At 41.6% G+C, this 13,667-nt stretch overlaps 1 protein-coding gene across 3 annotated transcripts in view; it reads right to left on the bottom strand.

Moving 5' to 3' along the window:
- USP8 (ubiquitin specific peptidase 8) overlaps window positions 1–13,667 on the bottom strand; it is a 90,017-nt gene that overhangs the window by 53,405 nt on the left and 22,945 nt on the right. For 2 of the 3 annotated variants that reach the window (NM_001128610.3, NM_005154.5), the window contains exons 4-5: window positions 11,532–11,617; window positions 1,855–2,017 (exon numbers count right to left, since the gene is read on the bottom strand). In NM_001128610.3, coding sequence (NP_001122082.1) covers window positions 1,855–2,017; window positions 11,532–11,617 — 249 coding nt within the window. The remainder of the gene's footprint in view (window positions 1–1,854; window positions 2,018–11,531; window positions 11,618–13,667) is intronic. The other variant, NM_001283049.2, reaches the window with a different exon arrangement.

Here is a 13,667-nt window from a genome sequence, read left to right as displayed (position 1 = left end):
GCATCTCAAAAAAAAAAAAGTTTGTAGAGACAGGGTTTTTCCATGTTGCCCAGGCTGGTCTCAAATTCCTGGACTCAAATGACCTGCCCACCTTGGCCTCCCAAAGAGCTGGGATTACAGGTGTGAGCCACCACACCCAGCCAACAACGACTTTTTAATGAAAGGAATGATGATCCACACAGAATGATAACTGAAAGCTACAAAATGTCTAAGAAAAAAATCAAAGCAGAAATTTTCCCATGGATTTCAACTTATATTTTAGGAAGAGTAGTTTCTGAGGAGGTAAAGGAAGGGAGGTACGGTGATAGCTGGCAGCTACAGACTAAGTCACTGATGGCTTTTAGCAAAGAGATGATGTAGCTGAAAAGACCACAAGTAGTCACTAAATAGATGTGAAAAAATGGGAGAAGCCAGGAGTGGTGGCTCACTCCTATAATCCCAACACTTTGGGAGGCCAAGGTGGGTAGATCGCTTGAGGTCAGGAGTTCAAGAACAGCCTGGCCAATATGGTGAAACCCCATCTCTACTAAAAATACGAAAATTAGCTGGGCATGGTGGTGGGTGCCTGTAATCCCAGCTACTCAAAAGGCTGAAGCCTAGGAGAATTAGTTGAACCCGGGAAGCAGAGGTTGCAGCGAGCTGAAATCGCACCACTGCACTCCAGCCTGAGCGACAGAGTAAAACTCTGTCTCAAAAAAAAAAAAAAAAAAAAAAAGAAGAGCCAGGTGTGGTGGCTCATGCCTGTAATCCCAGCACTTTGGAAGGCTGAGGCAGGCAGATCACTGGAGGTCAGGAGTTCGAGACCAGCCTGGCCAACATGGTGAAACCCCATCTCTACTAAAAATACAAAAATTAGCCGGGTGTGGTGGCGGGCGCCTGTAATCCCAGCTACTTGGGAAGCTGAGGCAGGAGAATCGCTTGAACCTGGGAGGCAGAGGTTGCAGTGAGCCGAGATCACGCCATTGCATTCCAGCCTGGGCGACAAGAATGAGACTCTGTCTCAAAAAAAAAAAAAAAAAAGGGGGGGGGTGGGGGAACTGGGGGAGAAAAAGAAGGAGAAAGCAAAGGAAAAAGAATGAGACCTCAGAAACAGATAAAAGGCTTGGTACCAAACAAAGTAGTATACTAAATCTTTTAATGTAAATTACATGATTAGAAAGAAGAAACTTAAAAATTGTCTATTTCAAGACTATAATTTGGGAAACAAGAAAACTGAGTCCCAGAGTGGTTAAAAAAGTTTTGACATAGGACCAGAATGCAGATATAATAAATCACAGCTCAGCTCAAATGATTTTTCTATTGCTCTAATTAAGTTTATAATGTCTGCTAAAAAACGAATTAATGCAGAGAAAATATTGCCATAGAAATTCACAGAAAAATCTGAAGTCAACTGAGGCTAGAATATTTAATTCAAATTCTTTTCTTTTTTTTTGAGACAAGAGTGTTGCTCTGTTGCCCAGGCTGGAGTGGAGTGGTACGATCTCAGCTCACTGCAGCCTCTGCCTCCTGGGTTCAAGCAATTCTCCTACTTTAGCCTCTCGAGTAGCTGGGACTACAGGCATGCACCACCACATCCAGCTAACTTTTGTATTTTTAGTAGAGTCGGGGTTTCGCTATGTTGGCCGGGCTGGTTTTGAGCTCCTGGCCTCAAGTGATCTGCCCGCCTCGGCCTCCCAAAGTGCTGGGATTACAGGCGTGAGCCACCGTGCCCAGCCTTAAATAAATTTCTAATTAAAACATTAAATTTCATCCTTGTTGCCTAAAAGAACTTTATAGTGGTATCTCAACTCTTTTTAAGCAAATCATCTAACAAGCAGAAACAGTCTTTTAACTCACACATTAAATTTGAAATACCTTTTGGGTTTTGTCTTTGGAATCCAAAACATTCTCCAAAGAGCCTTTAGCCAATGTGCCACCATCCTCTCTTCCTGTTTCCTGCCTTTTTTGTTGTAGCCGCTGTGCTTCCTCCTGCCTGTCTTTTTCCTCAAGTTTTTTCCGGACTTCAGCTTCTTCATATCTAGTTGAAAAAATAAGTCAAGATTGTCTTTTATTGGCGTTAATCGTGGAAATTAAAGGAGTTTCAGTTCTGTAAAATTAGTATCCTGCCTTGAGGTATTTCATGGCTATATGCTTTCTCCCTCCACCACAATTCACACATCTGCCACCTGAGGCCATCTGTAGATTTACTTCAAATTGCCCAGAACTATTAAAAAGAAACTGTATGTTCTCAAGTTGAAATTATTTAGTGCTTTTTGCTCTTTCTCTCCTACTAATTTCAACCTTTTATATTGATTCAAATCTGCTGCAATTTGCTTTTCAAAGGAAAAATCCTAATTTTTTCTGCAAAAGAAACAGCCCAAATATCACACTTATGTTGATAATTTAGAATAAAAATGTGAAAACAAACATTCAAAAAGCTGTGGAAAGTCTTACCAAGGTCCCAAGTTACATTTTTTTAAAGGATGACTTCACTGAAATTTCCAACTTGTTGGCAGTTAAACAGCTATCTGAACTACAGTTAGCAGATATCTGAGGAATTTAGAACTATTCCCTACTAAATTATAGGTGGCTGGGTGCGGTGGCTCACATCTGTAATCCAGGACTTTGGGAGGCCAAGGCAGGCGGATCATGTGAGGTCAGGAGTTCGAGACCAGCCTGACCAACATGGTGAAATCCCATCTCTACTAAATATACAAAATTAGCTGGGCGTGGTGGTGCATGTCTGTAATCCCAGCTACTTGGGAAGCTGAGGCAGGAGAATCACTTGAACTGGGAAGGCGGAGGATGCAGTGAGCCGAGATCACGTGACTGCACTCCAGCCTAGGTAACAGAGTGAGACTCCATCTCTAAATAAATAAATAAATGAACGAATGGCAATGTTTGCTATTATTGCCAGGACAGACTGTACGTTATCATAGACCTGCAATCTTGTTTGCCCTAATTATCAATGCTTGGCAATGTCTGTGAGCTTCAAATTTAAAGACAGAGAGAGAGAAGATAAAACAGATGTAAAGGAAAAAAATAAATAATTGACTAGGGTCAATAATTAGTAAAAGACGAATCAATAGTTTCCATTTTATTATTCTCTTTATTGTATCTTTACATTTTATATGCTCTTTTTTTCTTTTTTTTTTCTTTTCTTTTCTTTTTTTTTTTGAGACAGAGTCTTGCTCTGTCACCCAGGCTGGAGTGCACTGGCATGATCTCGGTTCACTGCAACCTCCATCTCCCAGGTTCAAGTAATTCTCCTGACTCAGCCTCCTGAGTAGCTGGGACTAGAGGCACACACCACCATGCCTGGCTAATTTGTGTATTTTTAGTAGAGACAGGGTTCACCATGTGGCCAGGCTTGTCTCAAACTCCTAACCTCAGGTGACCCACCTGCCTCAGCCTTCCAAAGTGCTGGGATTATAGGTGTGAGCCACCGTGGCTGGCTGTTTTTTTTTTTTTTTCTTTTTTGAGACAGAGTCTCACTCTGTCACCCAGGCTGGGGTACAGTCCCATGATCTCAGCTCACTGCAACCTCTGCCTCCTGGGTTCAAGCGATTCTCCTGCCTCAACCTCCCAAGTAGCTGGGACTACCGGTGTGTGCCACCATACCCACCTAATTTTTGTATTTTTAGTAGAGGTGGGGTTTCACTATGTTGGCCAGGCTGGTCTCGAACTCCTGACCTCAGGTGATCCACCTGCCTCGGCCTCCCAAAAGGCTGAGATTACAGGTGTGTGAGCCACCGCACCTGGTCTTATATGCTCTTTTGAGTGAATATTCCAAAATGAAAAATTTCTAAATAAACAGATAAAACTATACAATAGAAATGGTGACTATTCAAATAACTGTGCCAGCTTCACATATTTAAAATTTTAAGTTTACTTTAAAAATGACTTCTGAACTCAAAATTATTTTGTACCACACATTTTCAACATCATGTTAATAGTGACCAAAAACGTGCCATCTATCAATAAGATCATTCATGCACTTAGCAAGAATTACATCTTTAGCTCTTGGAGAAGAAATTAGCATGTCACACAAAGCTGTGCTATTCCTCAAGTGGAAGAAATATAAGGAAAACAGTGCTTCTCCTCTAAATATTTAAGCAGTTAATTTCTTTTCTTTTTTTTCTTTTTCTTTTTTTCACAGAGTCTCGCTCTGCTGCCCAGGCAGGAGTGCAGAGGCATGATCTCAGCTCACTGCAACCTCCACCTTCCAGGTTCAAGCAATTCTCCTGCCTCAGCCTCCCGAGTAGCTGGGATTACAGGCGCATGCCATTGTGCCCAGCTAATTTTTGCATTTTTAGTAGAAAAGGGGTCTCACCATGTTGGCCAGGCTGGTCTCGAACTCCTGGTCTAAAGTGATCCACCCTCGTCGGCCTCCCAAAGTGCTGGGATTACAGGGGCGAGCCACCACACCCGGCCATTAAGCAGTTAATTTTTTTTTTTTTTTTTGAGACGGAGTCTCACACTGTCACCTGGGCTGGAGAGCAGTGGTGGGATCTCGGCTCACTGAAACCTCTGCATCTCAGGTTCAAGCGTTTCTCCTTGCCTCCGCCTCTCGAGTGGCTGGGATGACAAGCTCCCACCACCACGGCCAGCTACTTATTTTTGTATTTTTAGTAGAGATGGGGTTTCACTATGTTGGCTAGGCCGGTCTTGAACTCCTGACCTTGTGATCCACCTGCCTCGGCCTCCCAAAGTGCTGGGATTACAGGCATGAGCCACCCCGCCTGGCCTAAGCAGTTTCTATCTTTACGCTTAGCAATTCCTTCTGAATTATGTATTCCATTGACAGAAATGATCACTAATATTGACAGGAACATGGTGATCACGACACTCTACTTTAAAAATGCTATCCTTTCGCCTTAAAAAATAAAGGTAGGAAAGAGAATTCTAATTCTGGTAATGACTTAGTAGTTTCCATTGTTCTGAACCTCTCACAGACAACTATAAACTCTGGGTAACCTATAACTACCTGAAGGCATTGGAAAACTGCCATAATCAGGAAGAAAGTAGATGGGGGTTGACACTTGAAAGAAAGGAAGGGCATTAGTAAGATTCCCATTTTTTATGGTTTCACACCTAAGGCAGGCCTTACTGCTGAAAACAGCTAAAATTCCAATAAAGACCCCAATCTCAGAGAACCAGAGTTCCAAATTCTTTGTATAGACTTGCCCAAATTGCCACCTGACACCTGAATTAAGCACACCTGCAGCAGATACTAAGGAGCCCAGCTAAGTTTAGAAGAATTGAAAAGAATGTCAGTTGCCACCTACCATAGGCAAGACAGAAAACTTAACGTTTGAGTATAGCCAAGTTAACTGCCTAGTGGGACAAAACAACAACAACAACAACAACAAAACTATTCAGAGGACTAAAGAAGAATGCAGAGCCTATAATTTTATTGTTCACAATGTCCAAAGTTACTAGTACCAAAAAAAGAAAAATAGGACAACAATAAAAGAGAAAAGGTGCTGCACACTGACTCTAAGATGATGCATTTAGCATACAAAGATTTTAGAGCAGCTGTTATAACTATGCTCAAGGGCGTAAATGAAAATGTGCTTGTAATAAATGAACAAATAGGAAATCTCTGTAAAAAAATAATAGACGCTATAAAAAAGAACCACACAGAAATTCTAGAATTGGGCTGGGCGCAGTGGCTCATGCCTATAATCCTAACTCTTTGGGAGGCCCTGGTAGGAGGACTGCTTGAGCCCAGAGCTTGAGACCAGTTTGGGCAACATGGTGAAACCCTGTCTCTACAAAAAAACACAAAAAAACTAACTGGGCCTGGTGGTGTGCATCTGTAGTTCCAGTTGTTCAGGAGGTGAAGGCGGGAGAATCACTTGAGGCCAGGAGGCTGAGGTTGCAGTGAGATGTGATCACGCCACTGTACTCCAACCTCGACAACAGAGTGAGACTCTGTCTCAAAAAAAGGAAGAAATTCTAGAATTGAAACATATAACTGAAAAAAATTCACTCAACACAAAATTGGAGATGACAAAGTAAAGAGTCAGTATTTGAAGGGAGAACCATCCTGGGCAACACAGAAAGACCCCATCTCTATAAAAAATAAAATTAGCCAGGAGCAGAGGTGTGTGCCTTTAGTCCCACCTACTCAGGAGGCTGAGGTGGGATTGCTTGAGCCCAGGAGTTTGAGGATGCAGTGAGCTGGGATCATGCCACTGCACTTCGGCCTGGGCAACAGAGTGAGACATTGTCTCAAAAGAAAAAAAGGATGAAAGAGTGATAAATATTATTCAATCCAGGCTGGGCGTGGTGGCTCACATCTGTAATCCCAGCACTCTGGGAGGCCGAGGTGGGTGGATCACCTGAGGTCAGGAGTTTGAGACCAGCCTGGCCAACATGGTAAACCCCTATCTCTAGTAAAAATACAAAATTAGCCAGGTGTGGTGGCACACACCTGTAGTACCAGCTACTTGGGAGGCTAAGATAGGAGAATTGCTTGAACCCAGGAGGTGGAGGCTGCAGCAAGCCAAGATCGTGTGCCACTGCACTCCAGCCTGGGTGAGACAGAGTGAGACTCCATCTGAAAAAAAAAAAAAAGAAAAGAAAATTATCCAATCTGAAAAACAAAGAGAAAATGATTAAAACAAAACAAAACAAAATAAAAAGAACAAATCCTTAGGGATTCATTGGACAAAATCAAAAAGTCTATCGTATGTAGAGCTGGAGTTCCAGCAAGAAAATAAAAATGAGGCAGAAAAATGCTTAATATCAGAAACAATGGAGGCCAGAAGACAGTGGAATAGCAGCTCTGAAGTGACAAAAGGGAAAATTAAAACCTGCCAACCTAGAATCCTGTATCTAGTTAAAATCCCTTAAGAATGAAGATGAGGGCGGGGTGTGGTAGCTCACGCCTGTGATCGCAGCACTTTGGGAGGCCAAGGCAGGCGGATCACCTGAAGTCAGGAATTCAAGACCAGCCTGGCCAACATGGTAAAACCCCATCTCTACCAAAAAATACAAAAATTAGCCAGGCATGGTGGTGTGCGCCTGTAGTCCCAGCTACTTGGGGAGGCTGAGGTGGGAGGATCGCTTGAACCTGGGGGCGGGAGTTGCAGTGAGCCAAGATCATGCCACTGCACTCCAGCCTTCAGGACAGTGAGACCCTGTCTCAAAAAAAAAAAAAAAAAAAAAAGAATATTCCCAGAGGTAAAGAGGGACATAATGATAAAAAGGTCAATTCATCAAGAAACTGTAACTATGTGCCTAAAAATAGAATTTCAAAATACATGAAACAAAAGCTGAGAGAACTAAAGGCATAAATAGATACAGTTAAATATTTTAACATGACTCTCTCAGTAATTGTTACAACTTGAACCCCCATCCCACAGTCAGTAAAGATAAAGAAGATCTGAACATTATCAGCCATTCTGACCTAAATGACATATAGAGAACAGTATATTCAACAACCACATTTTCTTTGCAAGTGCACATGGTACGTTCACCAAGAGACCATATGCTGAGCCATAAAACAAGAATACATTTAAAAGGACGCAACATCTTTAGCCACAATGAAATTAAATTAGAAATCAATAAGATATAAGAAGAATCCCACATATGTGGAAATTAAACAACACATTTCTAAATGACCCATGGGTCAAGGAAGAAAGGGAAATTAGAAAATATTTCAAAATAAATTATAAAGTTCTACTGGGAAAACAATAGATTTATGAAAATCAGTGTGTTAAAATAAAATAAATGGAACAAAAGTGAATGATGAACCCATCAATAGATGTGAGAGGAGAAAAGAAAAACAGAGTAACTTCAGATAGAATTTTACAAAAACAGATGTTTCATCATATTCCATCTGCTTAGGCAATAACCAGGGATAATGGATTCTCAAATCTCCAGCAGGACCTTGCTTACTGGTATGCTCACTTCCCCCACTTCTCTACTGCACTGTGTTAAGAACTTGGTCACAGAATAGCAAGCATGTATTCCTATTATCTCTATGGAAATATCAACACCACTTTCCTGCCTATCTCATATGCTAGCATCATTTCACTGTTAGAAACAGAAGTGAAAGATTTGGAACAAGAGCAAAATTATGCAACTGTTTTACCTTGCCTCCTCAATGCAAATCACTAGAGTGCCAGGACGAAAGGTGTTACAGAACAAGAATGCTTCCACTGTTAATAACAACGAAAATAATAGCACAAAAACTTATTATTTGGTATGTGCCAGACACCATCTAAGTGTTTGTAAATGTTAATTTTCTTAATGCACTATGAGGTAGGTTTTATGATTATCCTAGTTACAGATGAGGAAACTGAGGCAGAGGGAGGCTAAGTAATTTGCCCAAGCTCACACAATTAATAAGAAAAAAACTGGGATCCATACCCAGGGAGTCTGGCTCCGTACACTTACCTACTGCTCTATATTTCTTCTCTAGTAGTGCTCTATGCTGGAACAGTATGTGAACTGTCTGCCCTAAGAAGTAAGCACAGTCAGCCTAAATCCAATTTGAGGGCAGAAATGAAAAAACTTTAAGATTCTCTTTTTTCCTATTTTCTTCTCTTATCCACACCTTACCCCCTACCTTGGATTTGTTCTACAGTCTCCATAAATCTAATTAAATAGAGCTGATGTCTCTCCTACTTTCCAATTTCAGTTGGTAAGCTGAAGTGAGAGCGAGGCATGCTCTCTGAAACTAACTTCTGATCCTTTTACCCACTTAATCCCTTTTACTAGGATTCTGATACTTCCAGATTTGGTCAAAATTACCTCTAAGACCTCCCCTAACATGAATGTAACAGAAATGGATTAAGTCTATGTTATGAGAGGTGTCCATGAAAAAAGATAATAATAAGAAACGGGACAGGCAAATAAATGCTTAACAAGTATTCCTTAATGGCAGGTGATACTGAAATCTATTTTCTAGCCACTCACTAGGTCTTTTTGCTAAAGCATTTTTTTCAGAATCTGGGGCTATGTCTATAGCGGCCGCACCTGGGACCATGCGGCCACCCCTAGGACAGGGGCCAGCAGGCCACGGACCCCACTCGGCACACACGCCTCCGTGGTCATAGACCATGACATCAGATGATTAGGCAGAATTTAGCAGAAAATCTACCCCAAGATGTTAAGGGCTTTCACTTTAAAGTTATAATCTATTCTCCAAACCTAGAGAGCATATACCCTCCCTCATGCCCATTCTCAGACTGCCGGCCTGACAAGAGAAATTCTAGTCATGCAGATTTCAGAGACTTAAAGGAGGAAAAGAGCTTTGTGGTTGACTTATTACAGAATTAGGACAGGACAGATATGAAGATATGTTCACACAGGGTTGCTCTAAATGTCCATGAAAGACACCAACATGGGGCAGGAGGCTGGGAGAGGACAGACAGGGAGAAAAACAGTGAAAAGGTTCTCCACATCTAGCTGCAAAATAACCTATACAGAGGAAAATTCAAAGTACATTTAAAAAGCCTTAGAATTGGAAAGGACCCAGAGGTTATTTAGCAACAGGGACTTTATTACACTGAAAGATGGGCCATTCTATCAGGCCATAAGAAGTAAATATCTAAATAATGAATCATTTTCTTAATGACTTCCTTTATAAGTTGAGAGTTATTTTCTTTTTTTGAGACAGAGTCTCACTCTGTCGCCCAGGCTAGAGTGCAGTGGCAAGATCTCAGTTCACTGCAACCTCTGCCTCCCAGGCTGAAGCGATTCTCCTGCCTCAGCCTCCTGAGTAGCTGGGACTACAGCTGCCTGCCACCCCACCCGGCTAACTTTTTTTGCATTTTCAGTAGAGACGGGGCTTTACCATGTTGGCCAGGCTGGTCACAAACTCCTGGCCTCAAGTAATCCGCCCGCCTGGGCCTACCAAAGTGCAGGCATTACAGGACTGAGCCATTGCTCCTGGTCAGAATATTTTTAAATACAAGTAACATGATACATTCTTAGTGAAAAAAAAAAATTCAAGCCAGTAAAGAAATATGTCACCCTGGTTAAATCTTTCAGTTTCCTCCTTCTATTTATTATTTGCATCAAACAGCTCTCAGTTTGCTGTTTTTCACTAACCAGGCTTTGGCACCTTGTATCACTTAAAACCAGTTCCATTGTTCTCTCCTTCTGTATCATATTGCTGAGAATGCTTTTGGTTTTATCTATTAACATTTTTTATGCTACAGATACAGGCAGAAATTTATCTACTAGGATCTACATAACAGCATTATGTTGTTGATAAGGGAAACAATTTAAATTTTAAAGCATGACTAATGGCCGGGTACAGTGGCTCATGGCTATAATCCCAGCACTTTGGGAGGCCGAGGCAGGCAGATCATCGGAGGTCAGGAGTTCAAGACCAGCCTGACCAACATGGAGAAACCCCGTCTCGACTAAAAATACAAAATTAGCCAGGCATGGTGGCACATGCCTGTAATACCAGCTACTCAGGAGGCTGAGGCAGGAGAATGACTTGAACCTGAGAGGCAAATGTTGCAGTGAGCTGAGATCAGGCCATTGTACTCCAGCCTGGGAAACAAGAGGCAAAACTCCGTCTCCAAAAAAAAAAAAAAAAAAAAAAAAGAATGACTAACGACTAAAAACTGAAACATACTGTTTTTGTTTTGTAATTATTTTTGTAAACCTGGTAAGCAAGTCATGGCAAATACCAGAATCAGTTTTTTTTTCCAAATTTAAATAACTTCTGTAACTAAGCAGATCAAAAGTAACAGTAAATACTTCATTCCTATACGCACAGTATCCAGGAGCAGAATCCACCAAAGAACATATGAAGAATTGAATTTTTCTAAAGAATAATGCCAGAAACTTACAAATATTATAAATTAGAAATATTGGGGCCGGGTGGCTCACGCCTGTAATCTCAGCACTTTGGGAGGCTGAGGCGGGCGGATCACTTGAGGTCAGGAGCTCGAGACCATCCTGGCTAACACAGTGAAACCCCGTCTCTACTAAAAATACAAAAAATTAGCCGGGTGAGGTGGCGGGCGCCTGTAGTCCCAGCTACTCGGGAGGCTGAGGCAGGAGAATGGCGTGAACCCCAGGGGCGGAGTCTGCAGTGAGCTGAGATCGCGCCACTGCACTCCAGCCTGGGCAACAGTGAGACTCCGTCTCAGAAAAAAAAAAAAAAAAAAAAAGAAATATTGGGGCCAGGCATGGTGGCCCACACCTGTAATCCCAGCACTTTGGGAGGCCGAGGCAGGAGGATCAGAAGGTCAGGAGATCGAGACCATCCTGGCTAACATGGTGAAACCCTGTCTCTACTAAAAATACAAAAAATTAGCCGGGCGTGGTGGTGGGTGCCTATAGTCCCAGCTACTTGGGAGGTTGAGGCAGGAGAATGGCGTGAACCCAGGAAGTGGAGCTTGCAGGGAGCCGAGATCGCGCCACTGCACTCCAGCATGGGCGACAGACAGCGCGAGACTCTGTCTCAAAAAAAAATTGGAATATTATATGAATCGTCAGATATAAATCGGTAAATCTTAAATATTATTTTTATCTTCTAAATTTACATTATTTTAAATATTTCATAATATCTGTACCTTAATTTAAGGCTTTCAGAGAGTCTTTCAGCTTCTTCGACAGCTTTTTTGATGTTTCCAGGTCCAAGTATTGAATGGAAATAATCCTAAAATTATAGGAAAACCATCCCATATTGTTAGTTCTCGGCATTGCATGTGACACTAGTGTTAAAATCATTAAAATCATGGTGCTTATATAAAGGGAAGTTTGTTTTATTACAATGGAAGATTTTTAAAAACTTTTAACCTATGTAAATGTATAATTTATTCTCCAAATGTCTCAAAAGTATGTCTTCATACCATTAGTAAGTTAAAAAGATCCACTAGTTCATAAATTTGACTTATTTGTAAGTCTCTGTTAAAAAGTATAAATAACATTGTTATTTTTGAGTAAGCGCCAAAGAGCAAAGCTTTCAAGAATAAAGTATATTTTCTTATTAAAAATATGTACCTAGTTTTTTCTCCAGTCTCACAATAAAGCAAATTGTGTACAGACACAACATGGAATGTGTTTTGTTTACTTGTTCTAAACAGATATTTTTGCTTCCACCTGTACTTTAGAATAGCTACTCACATCCCAACTGGAGTCAAAACACTTTTGATACATAAAACAAGTTTTACACATTAGGAAACTCTAAGCAACTAAAAACCAAATGATAGAAAATAAATAATTAATAGTATAATCTAGGCCGGGTGCAGTGGCTCAAACCTGTAATCCCAGAACTTTGGGAGGCCGAGGCGGGCACATCACTTGAGGACAGGAGGTCAAGACCAGCCCGGCCAACATGGTGAAACCCCATGTCTACTAAAAATAGAAAAACCAGCTGGGTGTGGTGGTATGTGCCTGTAATCCCAGCTACTCAGGAAGCTGACGCAGGAGAATCACTTGAACCCAGGAGGCGGAGGTTGCAGTGAGCCGAGATTGCGCCACTGCACTCCAGCCTGGGCGACAGAACGAAACTCTGTCTTAAAAAAAAAAAAAAAATTCCACCTTTAAAAAATGCAAAAGGTAAAAGATTTGGCATATAATTTACTAACAAGTACAATGAAGTTGTTGTTGTTGTTTTTTAAATCACTACTCCAAGAGGTCAATCATTAGATACAAGAGGTCAATCATTAGATACTACAATCAGATATTTTCAAATCAAGGTTGGTATGACATTGCAGTAGTTAGTTAAGTCAGTTAAATGATTACTGGATCCAATTTGCCACAACATGTCAATATGACTTTGCAAATAGAGCCTACTAGCACAGTTCATTACAAATTATAATAATCATAATTTGTAAAAAGAAGGGTTGTAGGTCAGAAGTACCTATCTTTGGCTCTCAGTCATGAAGAGCTGCAATGGTGGAGCCATATAAACATATCTAACAGCCCATATAAATATATATAACTTCTAGATTACTGATGATACAAATAAACAAACATAACTTCTGTAACTAGGCAGATCAAAACTAACAGTAGGCCATGTGCGGTGGCTCACATCTGTAATCCCAGCACTTTGGGAGGCTGGGGTGGGTGGATCATCTATCTGATGTCAGGAGTTTGACACCAGCCTGAGCAACATGGTGAAACCCTGTCTCCACTAAAAATGCAAAAATTAGGCTGGGCACGGTAGCTCACGCCTGTAATCCCAGCTCTCAGGGAGGCAGAGGCAGGAGGATAGCTTGAGCCCAGGAGTTTGAGACCTGCCTGGGCATATAGTGAGACCCCGTTCCCCACAAAAAGGAAGAAAAAAAAAAGACAAAAAAAAAAATAAGCGTAAAAATGCAAAAATTAGCCAGGCATGGTGGCGTGCGCCTGTAATCCCAGCTACTCGGGAGGCTGAGGCAGGAGAATCACCTGAACCCGGGAGGCAGAGGTTGCAGTGAGCTGAGATCACGCCATTGTACTCTACCCCGGGCAACAAGAGTCAAACTCTGTCTCGGAGGGGAAAAAAAGAAAAGAAAAAAAAAACTAACAGTAGGCTGGGTGCAGGGGCTCACACATGTAATCCCAGCACATTGGGAGGCTGAGGTGGGTGGATCACCTGAGGTCAGGAGTTCAAGACCAGCCTGGCCAACATGGCAAACCCCCGTTTCTACTAAAAATATGAAAATTAGCCAGGCGTGGAGGCACGTGCCTGTAGTCCCAGCAACTTGGAAGGCTGAGGCAAG

This window comes from Homo sapiens, chromosome 15, assembly GCF_000001405.40.
Source record: "Homo sapiens chromosome 15, GRCh38.p14 Primary Assembly".
NCBI lineage: Eukaryota > Metazoa > Chordata > Mammalia > Primates > Hominidae > Homo > Homo sapiens.
The sequence above is the reverse complement of the archived record's forward strand: the minus strand, read 5'-3'. Positions and strand labels throughout refer to the sequence as shown.